The sequence below is a fragment of the Homo sapiens genome, chromosome 19 (assembly GCF_000001405.40).
Source record: "Homo sapiens chromosome 19, GRCh38.p14 Primary Assembly".
NCBI classification, from domain to species: Eukaryota; Metazoa; Chordata; class Mammalia; order Primates; family Hominidae; genus Homo; species Homo sapiens.
This window is the reverse complement of record NC_000019.10, coordinates 15,010,664-15,025,921: the sequence shown is the minus strand read 5'-3', so window position 1 is coordinate 15,025,921 and position 15,258 is coordinate 15,010,664. Positions and strand designations below refer to the sequence as shown.

General features: G+C 50.1%; 1 protein-coding gene across 1 annotated transcript, besides 2 other annotated features; it reads right to left on the bottom strand.

Moving 5' to 3' along the window:
- Window positions 484–553: a silencer, noted in NCBI's record as "silent region_10264". NCBI's record gives its function as "represses an Ori minimal core promoter by ATAC-STARR-seq in GM12878 lymphoblastoid cells {active_cell/tissue: GM12878}" and the evidence as "EXISTENCE:reporter gene assay evidence [ECO:0000049][PMID:35858748]".
- Window positions 2,646–15,196, bottom strand: TEKTL1 (tektin like 1). The gene is made up of 7 exons (NM_173482.3): window positions 14,527–15,196; window positions 12,146–12,250; window positions 5,263–5,461; window positions 4,403–4,569; window positions 4,211–4,306; window positions 4,003–4,116; window positions 2,646–3,051 (listed from the first exon to the last, which is right to left on the bottom strand). Exons 1-7 carry the CDS (start codon window positions 15,094–15,096, stop codon window positions 2,803–2,805), a joined length of 1,500 nt encoding a protein of 499 aa, NP_775753.2. The 5' UTR covers window positions 15,097–15,196; the 3' UTR covers window positions 2,646–2,802.
- Window positions 9,691–9,985: a silencer, noted in NCBI's record as "tiled region #13248; HepG2 Repressive non-DNase unmatched - State 10:DNaseD, and K562 Repressive DNase matched - State 10:DNaseD". NCBI's record gives its function as "represses a minimal TATA promoter and a strong SV40 promoter by Sharpr-MPRA in HepG2 and K562 cells {active_cell/tissue: HepG2 | K562}" and the evidence as "EXISTENCE:reporter gene assay evidence [ECO:0000049][PMID:27701403]".
- Window positions 15,197–15,258: the final 62 nt, after the last annotated feature.

Here is a 15,258-nt window from a genome sequence, read left to right as displayed (position 1 = left end):
GTGTGTGTATGTAATTCCAGCTACTTGGGAAGCTGAGGCAGGAGAATCGTTTGAACACAGGAGGCGGAGGTTGCAATGAGCCAAAATTGCACCACTGCACTCCAGCCTGGGCAAAAAGAGTGAGACTCTGTCTCAAAAAAAAAAAAAAAGACACCTTATTTAATATATGTGATGCATTCATGCACATGGAGGTCACGGCCACAGCACTATAATGCATGCCTGAATGAAGCTTATCTAACGCATGTATTTTTCCCCTAAGACACATTTCAGCCTTCTTGTGCTCAGGGACAGTAGACAGCACTTCAGCACTAACCCCTGGAAGTCATTTTAAACAGCAAAAACCACCAACAAAATGCACAAAAATGCAAAAAAAAAAAAAAAAAAAAAAGAGAGAGAGAGACAGAGATGCTAAATAGGCTACCACAAGGACACTTGTTTATGGTAAGAGAGCTGGCACAAAAAGGCAGCATCACCTTCTTTGCCCTCAGAGGGGCAGTGTGAACATCAGGTGGCTAAAAATGTTTTCACGGCTCTGTGCATGCCTGCAAATGATTGTGAAAGCACTACAAGTACTGATTTTGAAGTGACAAATAAATTTCGGTAAGTGAATTAGCAAGTAAATTTGGGGATAATGAGGATCAACTGTGGTCTCTTAAACTTCTTTCTCTCTCTCTCTCTTTTTTTTTTTTTTTTTTTTGAGACAGAGTCTCACTCTGTCACCCAGGCTGGAGTGCAGTGGGGCGATCTCAGCTCACTACAACCTCCACCTCTGGGATTCAAGCGATTCTCCTGCCTCAGCCTTCCTAAGTAGCTGGGACTACAGGCTCCCGCCACCATGCCTGGCTAATTTTTGTATTTTTAGTAGAGGTAGAGTTTCACCATGTTGGCCAGGCTGGTCTTGAACGTCTGACCTCAAATGATCCGCCTGCCTCGGCCTCCCTAAGTACTGGGATTACAGGTGTGAGCCACCGCACCTGGCCCTTAAACTTCTTGCAAATGGAGTGTGCTGTTTCTTGTTGATATCCTGATTGGTACTGGGAAGAAGTGCTTGAAGAAGAATAGTTTATGTGGGAGTCTGAGCCCCAGGGAGACTGGGGGCCTGTAACCCCCAAGCTGTAGAGTCTGTCTTGACATAAGGGAGCTGGCTGTGACACACAATGCTTCTGAGTCAGACCAATGGAGCCGATCCCCAGCTGAACTCCTACCCAGGTCTGTCATCCTGGGCAGATGGCTCTCTTTTTTGCCCATGCGTTTTTCTGTCCAGTGGCCATAATTGACCCAATCTCCATTCTCTTGTTTTGGGGACTCATTCAGATCCTGGTCCCTGCTTGAGATGTGGAGCATGACAGGTTGAAATCTTGCTTTACCCATCTCTGGCTGTGTAACCCTGGGAAAATGAGAAGAAAAATGAGCTTCATTTTCTTCTCTGCTAAACGTTGGTGCTTAGGTCCATACAATTGGCTGGCTTTGCCAAAAGGATACCAACATTTGTGAAGGCCATTCTCAGCATATACACTGTGAGCTCCACGACGGAGGGACACATCCTTGCTGTATCCCTGGCGCCTCACACAGCCTCTGACACAGAGCAGTTGCTTAGGAGATACCTGTGGCTGTAATGCACATTCTTTCTGTATGTGTGCAACACCCTGGATCTTCCTGGGAAGAGCAGATAAGAATCACAGCTCAGTGTGAGGGGTCCTGTGATGGCGGGGTGTCCAAGAGCCTACTGGAAAAGCAGAAGGACCTGAACCAGAGCCACACCCAAATGGATGACATTAGCTGCACTGGATCAACCTGTGACCTCCCTGAGAGTGGGGACCACATCAGCCCTGCTCACTGCTTTATTCTCAGTGCTGGGCTCAGGACCAGACACCACATGGGGTAGGACAGAGCAGAGCTCCTAGAAGTTCCACTTAGAGTGCAGGCTCTTGAGTCTGGAATGAAAATTCCAGTTTTGCTACTTCCTGTGTGACCCTGGGCAAGCTGCACAGCCTCTCTGTGCCTGTTTCCTCAACTGTAAAATGGAGATGCCAATAATAACAGCTCAGGTGCCTTGAGGATATACTATGCAGCCACCATACTATAGGGCTTTCATGCATGAACTCATCTGTCCTCACAGCCACCAATTTTTTTTTTTTGAGGCGGAGTCTCGCTCTTGTCACCCAGGCTGGAGTGCAGTGGCTTGATCTCAGCTCACTGCAACCTCCGCCTCCTGGGTTCAAGCGATTCTCCTGTCTCAGCCTCCCTAGTAGCTGGGATTACAGGTGCGCACCACCAGGCCCAGCTAATTTTTGTATTTTTAGTAGAGACAGGGTTTCATCATGTTGGCCAGGCTGGTCTCGAACTCCTGACCTCAGGTGATCCGCCTGCTTCCGCCTCCCAAAGTGCCGGGATTACAGGCGTGAGCCACCGCGCCCCGCCTACAACCACCATTTGAAGTGGGTGCTGTCATGCTCCTCATTTTACAGGTTGGAGAGACCAAGGCCAGAGAGGGACAGTGACTTGTCCAAGGCCACACAGCTTGAAACTGGGAAGCTGGAATTTAAATCCCAGCCATCTGGCACCCAAATCCATCCTATTAACTACCAGGATATGCGCTTATAACGTGTCCTAGGGTAAGTGGTTGACATACAGTAGGTGCCTAATACATGATAATTATTGTTATTTTTAATTATAATTCTCCTAGAGGGTGCTTGGAGGGAGGGTGCGTCAGGGGAGAGGGAGGGCCATGGGGCTGTGTCTGCTCTCCGAGGTCCCAGCCAGCATCCAATCAGCTGGCTGGGGCGGGGGACGCTGGGGTCACTAGGGGTCCGCGCTGCTCTTGCTGCGCGGCGGCGGCGTGCGCGGGTCCCAGTCCTTAACCAGGCGCTGCGCCTGCTCGTAGCACACGTGCGGTTGCCGCTGGCGCAGGCGCAGGCGCACCACGTTGCCGTCCACCTCATGCCCGATGTTCTTGCAGTTGAGGCCCCAGCTGAGGTTCTTGTGCGTGGCGAGCAGCTCGTCCAGGTTCTTTTCCAGGTACGTGATGTGGCACTGCAGCTTGTCGGTGCCCTGGATAGGGAGCAGGGCAGACCCGTGAGCCAGAGCAGATGGCTACCTGGCGTGGGAAGGCACACCTGCGCCAGGTGTGTGTGTAAGGAACACAGCTGAGGAGGGGAACACATCTGAATGGGCCAGGTGTGCCTGGAAAAAAAAAAAACCGCGACAGGGCAGGCTGAGGGAGGGGAATGCATCTAGTCAAGATGTGTAGGAAGGATCCTCCTTAGGAAGGGTACTTAATAATAACAGCTCAGGGCCGGACGCGGTGGCTCACACCTGTAATCCCAGCACTTTGGGAGGCCGAGGCGGGCGGATCACCTGAGGTCAGGAGTTCAAGACTAGCCTGGCCAACATAGCAGAACTCTGTCTCTACTAAAAATACAAAAATTAGCCGGGTGTGGTGGCGCGCACCTGTAATCCCAGCTACTCAGGAGGCTGAGGCAGGAGAATCGCTTGAACCCGGGAGGTGAAGGTTGCAGTGAGCCAAGATTGCACCACTGCACTCCAGCCTGGGCGACAGAGCGAGAGTCTGTCTCAAATAATAATAACAATAATAGTTAATAATAACAGCTGGGCAGCTTTAAGGGTATTCTATGCAGGTGCCATGCTACACACCTTTCATGCATGAACTCATCTGTCCTCACCACCACCATTTGAAGTGGGTGCTGACGTGCTCCTCATTTTACAGGTTAGAGAGACTAAGGCCAGAGCTGGACAGTGAGGGTGTGTGTGAGGGGGGAGGACAGGGGTTGAGGGGACTTATTTGAGCCAGTACCCACTGAAGCCCCCGCCAGTACCCACTTCAGTACCCAGTGAAGCCCCCGCCTCCCCACTTCGTGGCAGGAGTTGAAGGACAGGCCGACTTGGGTGAGAGGGGGATCATACCTGGTCCAGATGTGCTTGAGGAAGGAGCCTTACCATTGGCGGGGCTGGGCCTAGAGGGGTACGGGGGAGGGGGTTTACCTGTGCGAGGCGCGCAGCCTCCGGGAGTTGGGTGCCCACGTGTCTCTGGTACATGCGAACCAGGGGTCTGTCCAGCTTTTCTGCGGTCTCCAGGTGAACTTTCGACAGAGGACCCTGGTGGGGTGCGGTGTGCAAGCGCATTGAAACCCAGCCTCCAGCCACCGGCACCCCTGCCTCCACCCCCGAAGGCTCTCACCCCGAACCGTACCTTGATGAGACCGTGGGTGGTGTACAACTCTTGGTTATATTTCGTACACCGGAGGATAGTTCCCCTCATCAGTCCTAACGTCATATTTAATCTTTCCTGGGGGCAGGGAAGCGCAGGGGGATCACGCTGGCTCCCAGTCCGCGTCTCCTCCCCTGTCCCACCCTGGCCCGCAGCCGCAGGTAATGCGCTCACCTTCAGCTCCAAGGTCTCGCTCGCCTTCTGCGCCAGCGAGGCACACACACGGTCGCTTATCTGCAGCTGTTGCTCCCGGACGTCCACCTCGTTCTTTGCCATTTCTACCAAGGTGTCCTTGGACTCGACCAACAACCGCTTGGCTTCGTTTAGCGCCAAGGCGCACGCTGCAAATGCCCAGGATGCGCGTGGGGGTGCCAAGTCCTCCGTTCCCAGAGCCCCTGTCCCTCTCTCTATTCTCAGGTGGTGGTGGGCCCTGGGCGAGGGGGTTTTATTGAGGAACTGGGTGAAAGTCCAGGGGGCGCGGGGGATAGTGTAAGAAGCGTCTTGGGTTGGTTTCCTTAGAAGCAGAGCCTGTAACCTGTAATCCCAGCACTTTGGGAGGCTGAGGCGGGTGGATCACCTGAGGTCAGGAGTTCGAGACCAGCCTGGCCAACATGGTGAAACACCCGCCTCTACTAAAAATACAAAAATTAGCCGGGCGTGGTGGTGGGCGCCTGTAATCCCAGCTGCTCAGGAGGCCGAGGCAGGAGAATCACTTGAACCTGGGAGGCGGAGGTTGCAGTGAGCTGAGATCAGGCCATTGCACTCCAGCCTGGGTGACAGAGCAAGACTCCATCTCAAAGGAAAAAAAAAAAAAGCAGAGCCTGTGAATGACTGAGTCCTCAGCGAGTGTGGGCAGGAGAGTGCAGGGGGAAAAGCTGAGTGACAATGTGTGCTCAGCATGATAGGCTTTCAGTCCTCCCATTGACTCTAGGGCTATTTCCCAGGAAAGGGACAGCTAAGTGGGCGACGGGCTGCACTGACAGTCAAGGGGATCTGGGTGGGCACCAATACGACCCAGTACAGTGGACTCCTACCTGGGTTATAGGTGCCCACAGGGTCTGGAGGAGGCGTTTTCTGACCCTGTGTGCGTGGAGTGGGGGCTCGGGAGAGGTTCACCCATGAGTGGCGTCTGGCCTGCTCCAGAACCTTGTCCAGAGGCTGGTTCATGAGGTCCACGGCTTGGAGCCGCTCCTTGAAGCAGAAGTTCAGAGTGTCTCGGCAGGAGGCCAGGGTCTGGGTGGGGAGGGGAGGAGAAGACAGAGTGAGAACTGGGAGGTTGAGGGAAGTGGATGCAAGTGATTTCTCTGCTGCAGGCTTGAGCCTTATAGGCTGTAAAGCATTTCTACCTCTAAACGGAAACTGACACTCTCATTTTTTTTTTTTTTTGAGACAAAATCTTGCTCTGTCATCCAGGCTGGAGTGCAGTGGTGCCACCATAGCTCTCTAGAGCCTCAACATCCTGGGCTCAAGTAATCCTCCTGCCTAAGCCTCCTGAGTAGCTGGGACTACAGGAGTAAAGCACCATGCCTTGCTATTTTTAAAACTTTTTGTGAAGAAGGGGTCTGACTATGTTGTCTAGGCTGGTCTTGAACTCCTGGCTTCAAGCTATCCTCCTCCTTTGACCTTCCAAAGTGTTGGAATTACAGGTGTGAGGCAGTGTGCCTAATTTTTTTTTTTTTTTGATACTGGTAAAGGTTTTTACTTATGGGTATATATATATTATTTTTTTTTGTTTTGAGACACATGTTGCACAGGTTGTAGTGCAGTGGTGGAATCGTAACTCACTGCAGCCTCAACCTCCTGGGCTCAAGCGATCCTCTTGCCTCAGCCTCCTGAGACAGCTAATTTGTATTATTTATTTATTTTTTTGTAAAGACAGGGTCTCACTATGTTGCCTAGGCTGGTCTCAAACTCCTAGGCTCAAGCAATCTTCCTGCCTCAGCCTCCCAAAGTTTTAGGATTGCAGGCATGAGCCACTGTGCCTGGCCTGGAAATATTTTTTGATTTAACTTATTTCCCCAATGTTCCAGATAAATATTTTCTTTCACAAAATCTTTTTTAGGAGAGACATGTCTACATCTTATGAAAAAATGATTCTTTTTCCTCCTTTGACTCACATCACACCACCCCTCAAGGTTTACTTTATTATTTTACTTAAATTTTTGTTTTTAATTGAAAAATAATAATTGTATATATTTATGGCATGCAATGTGATGCTTTGATTTGTGTATGCAATGTGGAAGGATGTTATCAAACTAATTAACATATCCATCGTCTCACATACTTATCATTTTTTTGTAGTAAGTTCATTTAAAACGTATTCTTTTCCACTTAATTTTCCCAGCTTTATTGAGGTATAATTGATAAATAAAAATTGTATTTATTTAAAGTGTACAACTTGATGTTTTGACCTATAAACACACTGTGAAAAAATCACTGCATTCAGGCTGGGTGTGGTGGCTCATGCCTGTAATTCCAGCACTTTGGGAGGCCAAGATGGGAGGATCGCTTGAGCCTAGGAGTTCAAGACCAGCCTGGGCCACATGGTGAAACTCCATCTCTACAAAAAAGCAAAAAATTAGCAAGGTGTGATGATTCACGTCTGTAATTCCAGCTACTCAGGAGGCTGAGGTGGGGGGGTCACCTGAGCCCAGGAGGTTGAGGCTGCAGTGAGCCATGATTGCACCACTGCACTGTAGCCTGGGCAACAGAGTGAGATCCTGTCTCAAAACAAAAACAAAAACAACCATGAACAGTACAGTTTCCTCAATAGCCATTACAGATAAACACATGGATGAGTTGGTGGTGCTGAATAGATATTCCTGCAAACGTGGCTTTTAGAGAAGGGAAGGTGTGTTAAGGTATGGGAACGTGGAAATAAGAGTCAAGGGTCAGGCAATTCTGCTTACATTTTTCCCAGGTGATGGGTGTTCACTTGGATGTCAGGTAATCCAGGGAAGTTATATATATATACATATTTTGAGATAGGGTCTCACTCAGTCTCCCAGGCTGGAGTGCAGTGGCATGATCACAGCTCACAGCAGCCTGGACATCCTGTGCTCAAGCGATCCTCCCACCTCAGCCTCCCAAGTAGCTGGGACACCAGACACATGCCACCACACTGGCTAATTATTTTTTTTTAATTTTTGTAGGGACGCGGTCTTACTATGTTGTCCAGGCTTGTCTCAAACTCCTGGGCTCAAGCAATCCACCCACCTTGGGCTCTCAAAATGCTGGAATTACAGGCGCGAGCTGCTGTGCCCAGCTAGAGAAATGTCTTAAAATCACTTTTTTATTCACAAAGTTGTCTTCTGTTTATGGTACTGTGCATAATAATCAGGTAAAAGTGAGTCTGCTCACTTCCAGACAGATCATGCAATGGTGCGATCTTGGCTCACTGAAACCTCTGCCTCCCGGGTTCAAAGGATTCTCCTGCTTCAGCCTCATGAGTAGCTAGGATTACAGGCATGTGCCATCACACCTAGCTAATTTTTGTATTTTTTAGTAGAGACAGGATTTTGCTATGTTGGCCAGGCTGGTCTGAAACTTCTGACCTCAGGTGATCCACCCGCCTCAGCCTCCCAAAGTGCTGGGATATGGATTGGTTCTGAGAAATTGGTTTCCTTCCTCACTCCATTCTTGACCCTTTCCTGTTCTTTTATTTTGAGACAGAGTGATGCTATGTTGCTCAGGCTAGTGTTGAACTCCTGGGCTCAAGTGATCCTCCTGCCTCAGCCTCCCAAAGTATTGGAATTACAGGTGTGAGCCACCACACCCGGCCCCTTTCCAGCTCTTGTTTGTGTTCTTGGGAAGAAGCAATTCCTAAGTTGAAGCTCAGACATCTCCTGCCTCCTTACCCAGTTCAGAAGCCTTCAGTGACTCTTTGGGGGTGGGGTGAGGGGAGCAGTAAGAGACAGCAACAGCTTCCCTGTGCTGGGTGTCAATTGCTTGGTTTCTGTGCCTGGCTCTGTTCTGGCACCCTGAGAAAAGAGCCTGTCTCATGCATTTCCCCACTGTAACATGGAGAGCTGGCACTCACTATACCCACATCTTGATCTTCCTGTGTCACCCCCTTGATTCTCAACTGGCACTCATCCCATCCCCACCTCTAGCCTTGAAGTCTCCCTTCCTCTGCTCTGATCAATATTAAGAGACTGCTATTCTCTGAGTTCCCCCCTCCCACCAGGCTGTGTCTCATCTGGACAGCATCCCGCCATCGAAATCTTACTTCCTCCACAATAAAATGAAGCATATCATATTCCTTTGATATTTGCAATTATTTGAGAGTTATATCAAAACAAGTCATTTGCACATATATACACCCTTATAAACACTCTCCATCAAGATATAAAATATTTCCATCATGCCATACATTTCTCTGGCTCCCCTTTCCTCTGTCCCTCCCTGACCCCCTCTAGTAAGCTGACTTGGAGACTAGTTTTACCTGTTTTAGTCCTTCCTTCCTTCATTCATTTACAGAATCTTGCTCTGTCTCCCAGGCTGGATTGCAGTGGCATGATCCTGGCTCACTGTGGCCTCAAACTCCTGGGCTCAAGAGATCCTCTCAGCTCAGCCTCCTAAATAGCTAGGACTACAGGTGCATGCTAACCATGCCCAGTTATTTTTAAACATTTTTGTAGAGATGATATCTTGCTATGCTGTGCAAGCTGGCCTCAAATTCCTGGCCTCAAACTCCTGGCCTCAAGCAACTCTCCTGCTTGGGCCTCCCAAAGTGCTGGGATAACAGATGTGAGCCGCTGCACCCAGCCGAGTTTTGCCTGTTGTTAAGGAGTTGATAAATTTCCATCCTATGGATGGCAGACCTGTTTTTGTAAGTAAAATTTTATTGAAACACAGTCATGCCCATTCATATGCATATCATTTCTCGTTGTTTCCATGGCACACTGGCCAAGTTGAGTAGTTGTGACAGAAACTGCACAGCACACAAGGCTGAAAGCATTTACTAACTGTACCTTGAGGAAAACCCTTGCTGAATCTAAAACTTCATATAAATGGAATCCTACAGAGTGTACACTTTATGTCCAGCTTCTTTCTCTGAATATGGTATCTTTGGGATTTATTCATTTGGTTAAAAAGCAGACTTAAAAAGTCTTTTGTTCATGAATTCAAATATTAATTAAACCCCTACTGATGCCAGGCGATGTGCCAGGTGGTGGGGATACAGTGACCAGCAAGACAGCAGTCCAGGCCGGGCGCAGTGGCTCATGCCTGTAATCCTAGCACTTTGGGAGGCCGAGGCAGGTGGTCACGAGGTCAGGAGTTTGAGACCAGCCTGGCGCACATGGTGAAACCACGTCTCTACTAAAAATACAAAAATTAGCCGGGTGTGCTGGCAGGCACCTGTAATCCCAGCTACTCGGGAGGCTGAGGTCGGAGAATTGCTTGAACTCGGAAGGCAGAGGTTGCAGTGAGCTGCGATCACGCCACGCCACTGCACTCCAGCCTGGGCAATAGAGCCAACTCAAAAAAAAAAAAAAAAAAAAAAAAGGACAGCTGTCCAGTTCAGCACCACGGACAGCGTTCCACCAGTCCCTGAGTCTCCTACCTCGTCCACACCCTCGACCCTCAGCCTGTCCCTTCTTCTCCCCTCCTCCCCACCCCCCAGTCAACACATCCTTACTGAGTTTTGCTACATGAAATATAATTTAGTACTGTATCTGCCTTCAAGGTCCAATGCTTATTCAAATGCAGTTTAGCTGAGGAGCCTGCCTGGAGTCAACATGAGCAAGTTGACATATGCAGATAAGATGCAGTGGACTAGAGAAATGGGTATCTAGAGGGGCATGTAGATCAAGAGAGGTGGGCTTTTTATTGTAGTAAAATAGATATGACATAACATGTTTCTATTTTAACCTTGCTAAGTGTACAGTTTAGTGGCATTAAGTGTATTCGTACAACCATCATCTCCAGTAAGCTGACTTGGAGATTAATTTTACCTGTTCTGTTCCTTCCCTCCTTCCTTCATTCATTTATATAGAATCTTGCTCTGTCTTCCAGGCTGGATTGCAATCCACCTCCAGAATTTTTCATCATCCCAACAGATCTGTACCCATGAAAGAATAATTCTCCCTTTGTTCACTGGTGACAATGAGCCAAGAGAGAAGGAAATGTTGATGGTGCAGGAGAAGGGTGGAAGGGTGGAATTATAGGATTGACAGAGGAAAAATGAGAGAGGTTCCCTTTGGTGGTTTTCATTGAAATCACCGTAGAGCAAGGAAGGCACAGGGAGCTGGAGAGGACTAAAGGAAGAGAAGTTATGAAATCACTTGCCCAGCAGGTCAGCAAGTCTTCTAGAGACTTAAGGCGAGGTATCTGGGAAAGGTTTGAGTGCCAATTTGAGGTTTGACTTCATGATTTTAAGTTGAAACAAATCTGATTGGTGGTAAGTATTTTTCTCCAGCAATATTCAGACTAGGTCCTGCCAAGCAGCCTGTCTCTGTTTCTATCTATATCTGTCCTTTCCCACCTCTCTCTCTCACTCTCACAGAGACAGGGTCTTCCTCTGTTACCCAGACTGGAGCGCAGAGGTATGATCATGGCTCACTGCAGCCTTGAACTCCTGGATTCAAGCAATCCTCCTCCCTCAGCCTCCTGAATAGGGACTGCAGGCACTTGCAACTGTGCCTGGCTAGTTTTATTTTATTTTAAAATATAGATGAGGGCTTGCTATGTTGCTCAGACTGGTCTTGAACTTCTGGCCTCAAGAAGCAATCCTCCTGCCTTGGCCTCCCAAAGTACTGAGATTATGGGCATGATCCATTTCCCTCTTTATAGCCCTTTGCTCCCACGTCCATCCTCAGGGGCTTCTCCCTTCTCTGCCTCCGACTTCCTGGAAGGATATTTCAGGAATCATCAGATTTAAAGGAATATGACAGCGGCCAGAAGATATGCAGTATTCCGATTCAGCACCACGGACAGCGTTTCAGCAGCCCCCGCCCCCCGCCCCCCCACTGAGTCTCCTGCCTCGTCCACACCCTCGTCCCCCAGCCTGTCCCTTCTTCTCCCCTCCTCCCCACTCCCCAGTCAACACAACCTTACTGAGCTTTGCTACGTGAAATATAATTTAGTACTATATCTGCCTTCAAGGTCCAATGCTTTTTTAAATGTAGTCTAGCTGAGGAGATCTATACATAAAAGCAAGGAAAGTTCAACAACAATAAAAGACTTCAATCTCACAATAGGAAATAAAACAAGTTCCCAGCCTGTATTTTCTTTGAATGCCTTTAGAATGTTAACTCTTCAAGGACAAGGCTAGTTCTTTCTCAGTCACCACTTTATCTATGATGCCAAGCCTGGTGCCTGGGAAGCAGGTACCAGATTAGTATTTATCAAAAGGATGAGTCGAAAGCACACAAATTTCCAGCGAACCTTAACAGGTCCAAAAGGCCCCCTGAAGTCTGGCTGCTCTTCCCCCTTAATTTGTGCCCTCATGAAGAAGTTCTCATTGCAAGTGCGAAGGATGCAGCGAGAGATCAAGTCTGGCTGAAGCTGGAGCACGTGTTAGAGTGCAAAGAGCTAGACTCTAGTCACTTGGGCTGAAACCACAGCGCTTTCACTGATGGCTTTGCTTATTAGGTGAGGTCTCTCTCTGGGTCTCAATTTTCCCATCTCTATTGAGGAAATCATAGTTTCTGCCTCACAGGACAGCCTTAAGGAGTGGATTCAATGACTGCGCAGGGTTTGGTACAGAGTGGTTGTTCGTTGTTATTCTGAGACCCAACGTCATCTCCCATGACCTCCCTTTTTCCATTTCACAAAGCAAAATGCAGTGAATATCTGGTCAGTGTGGCTTGAAGGAATTGCTATTGTGACAGTCCCCAGGTCAGAGTGGTTTGTCCATTAGGCAGCCAGGGATCCCCCTCCAGCCCCCGTAACTTGTCCACAGGCACCCCTAACCTTGAGTAGGACCTCTGATTTTTCCATATCTCTCTCCATTTTCCTCTTCATGCTTTTCAGCTCCTCTTTCTCCCATGTAAGCATACTGTCAGCTTTGTCAGGGACCTAGAAAACGAGGAGAGAATCCCTCACATCGTTAAGAAAGGGCTGGGAAGAGATTCCTCTTTCCAGGGTGGTAGAGGGTTTGCCAGCCTCATAAACTCTGAGTTTGAAGGATGAAGTTGAGGGTACTCTCATCCTTTGGGTGGGGTGTCTCACTCTTTGAGAAGGTTTGATCTTTTCAGTGGGCTCTCTGACTTGGCGGGTCTTGCTCTCTGGAGCTTGAGGTTGGGGGCGTCTCTCTTTTACAGATAGGAGCCCAGGGGGCTGAGATGAAGGTGTCTCAACTTGGGGGAGGGTTGTTCTCACCCCCTGAGGCTGGGAGCTGGGCACCCCTTCCTCAGTGATGGTCTTATCTCCTCTCCCTGGCTACAGGTGGAGGGATCATATCATACGGATGATGAGGGTTTACGTTTTTGGAGTCTTAATATTTGGATCTGGGGGCTGAGGGTAGGAATCCCATTCTGTGGGTGGGGTCTCATCTCTCCCCCGGGAGGCAGGAATTTTTGTACCTTTTGGGGTGGGGATTTGAGATTTCACTTTAAGGGGAAGATTTCACCAGGACTGGTACTAGAAGTCTTACTCTTTCTCCCTGGATGGGAGCTTAACCTTTGGGTGTGAGGGTTGGGAGTCTGAAGTCTCTCTCTGTAGGGAGGACTTCTTCCTTTCACCACAGACGAGGCCTGGGGGTGGAGATTTTCACTTCCTGAAGCCAGGGGAATTGGGTTTTATTTAACATTCTGGGGGGGAGTTTCACCTGGGTTGGGACAAGGGTATCAGCCGCTCTCCTCAGCTGGGAGTTGGGAGTGTGTTTTCACTAGGACTGGGGCACTGAGGGTCTCACATCTATGGAAGGGTCTTACCCTCTGGGCCTAGGGTCTAGGTGGATGATTTTATGCCTGGGCTGAGGGCTGTGGGTTTTACTTTTTGGGGAGATTTTCAAGGAGTCTGAATCAGGGGCTGCACCCTCTCTCCCTGGCTGGGAGATTTGGATAATTTTCTCCTCTGGGGCAGGGAAGCTGAGGATCTCATCTCCTTGGGCAGGGCTCACTCTTTGGGTCTTGGGGGCTTAGGCATCTCTTCCTGGGCCTGTATCCATCATCTTTTTTTGTTTGTTTGTTTTTGAGTCTCACTATCTCCTAGGCTGAAGTGTAGTGGCCCTATCATATTTCACTACAGCCTTGAACTCCTGAGCTCAAACAATCCTGCTTCAGCCTCCTAAGTAGCTGGGACTAGAGGCATGCACCACCATGCCTGACTATTTTTTTTAAACTTTGGTGCAGAGAGGGTCTTGCTGTGTTGTCCAGGCTGGCCTCAAACTCCTGGCCTCAAGCAATCCTCCTGCCTTGGTGTCCTGAAGTGCTGGGATTACAAGCACAAACTACCAAACTTGGCTAATTTACCTGCAATTTTTGGAGAGATGGGATCTCACTGTGTTGCCCATGCTGGTTTGCGGTTGGCCTGATTATAGCTTACTGCAGCCTCAAACTCTTGGGCTTAAGCAATCCTCCTGCCTCAGCCTCCAAGTAGCTGGGACCATAAGTGCATGCCACCATGCTGGGCCACTAAAAATTTTTTTTTTTTTGTAGAGACGGGGTCTCACTATGTTGCTCAGGCTGGTCTCCAACTCCTGGCCTCAAGCAATCCTCCCGCATCGGCATCCCAAAATGCTGGGATTACAGGTGTGCACCAACACACCCAGCTAACTTTTTAAAATTTTTGGTAGAGACAGGTTCTCACCTGTCACCCAGGCTGGAACACAGTGGTGCCATCATAGTTCACTGCAACCTGGAAGGCCTGGACTCAAGCGGTCCTCACACCAAGGCCTCCCAAAGTGCTGGGATTACAGGCGTGAGCTACTGCATCTGGCCCTCATCTTCTTGTGCCCTTATTCACCGGAGTTGGGTGTTCTCTCTATGGAAATATTTTTTTTTTTTTTTTTTGAGATGGAGTTTTGCTCTTGTTGCCCAGGCTGGAGTGCAATGGCACGATCTCGGCTCACTGCAACCTCTGCCTCCCGGGTTCAAGTGATTCTCCTGCCTCAGCCTCCCAAGTAGCTGAGATTACAGGCATGCGCCACCAGGCCCGGCTAATTTTGTATTTTTAGTAGAGACGGGGGTTTCACCATGTTGGTCAGGCTGGTCTCGAATTCCTGACCTCAGGTGATCAACCAGCCTTGGCCTCCCAAAGTATGGAAAGGATTTCCCCGGGGCTGGACACCGCATAGCGGAGGCCTCAGTCTTTGCAGTTAGGCTGGGGTTGGGCGTGGGGGAGGGTCCCACCTTCTCAGACTTGGGCCTGTAGCCCCGCAGCTTGACGCTCTGCTGGTTAATAAGCAGACCCTTGCGCACTTCGCTGAGCCTGTGGTCGGTGACCTCGCGCTGGCGCAGCAGCTGTCGCACCCGCCCGTTAATCTGGTGCTGCGCGCGGCCGAGGCGGGCGGCGGTGAGGCGCGCTCCACGCGCGTGCGCGTGCACCACCTCGGTGGTCTGCAGGGCGCGCGCTTTGCGGTGCAAGGGTAGCGGCAGGCGGGCGTACCAGGCGGGCGGCTTCATCTTGCCCTTCCACAGCGTGACGCCCTCGCCTGGCGGCGGCTTCTCCAAGGTGCCGCCGCCTTTGATCATCTCCACGCGGAAGCGCCAGGGCTGGATGTAGGCGGCGCGGCCGAGGTGGTGGGCCACGTTCGGGTCCAGCACGCTGTCCTTGGGCTGCCACATGGTCACCGCCTCCTGCCCGCAGCGATCGGTCAGAATGTGCGCGGTCCTCGCCATGGCCTGAGCTGCCTCGCGCCATGCTGGGGCCCCAACGCGTGTGTCCTGGCTGCGCTCAGCCGGGGGTACCAACACGCGCATGGTCCCTGCTTGGTCTCTCGGCCTGGCCGGGAACCCTAGGCGGAGCGGAAGGGACCCCAAAGACACACAACTCTTTCCTGGCCTGTAGAGACAGTGTACTGAGAGCGCCCGTCACCATAGCGATGGGCGCAACAAGGGAGGTGGAATTCCAGAGGTGGGGGG

Excerpts from the sequence above, each read along its gene's own strand:
- TEKTL1 (NM_173482.3), bottom strand. The coding sequence starts at position 15,096 with ATGCGCGTGTTGGTACCCCCGGCTGAGCGCAGCCAGGACACACGCGTT. Across the intron at positions 12,251-14,526 it reads ACAGGCCCAAGTCTGAGAAG|GTCCCTGACAAAGCTGACAG; the intron begins GTGGGACCCTCC and ends CTCGTTTTCTAG. Across the intron at positions 4,570-5,262 it reads TGTGGGCACCTATAACCCAG|CGTGCGCCTTGGCGCTAAAC; the intron begins GTAGGAGTCCAC and ends GGGCATTTGCAG.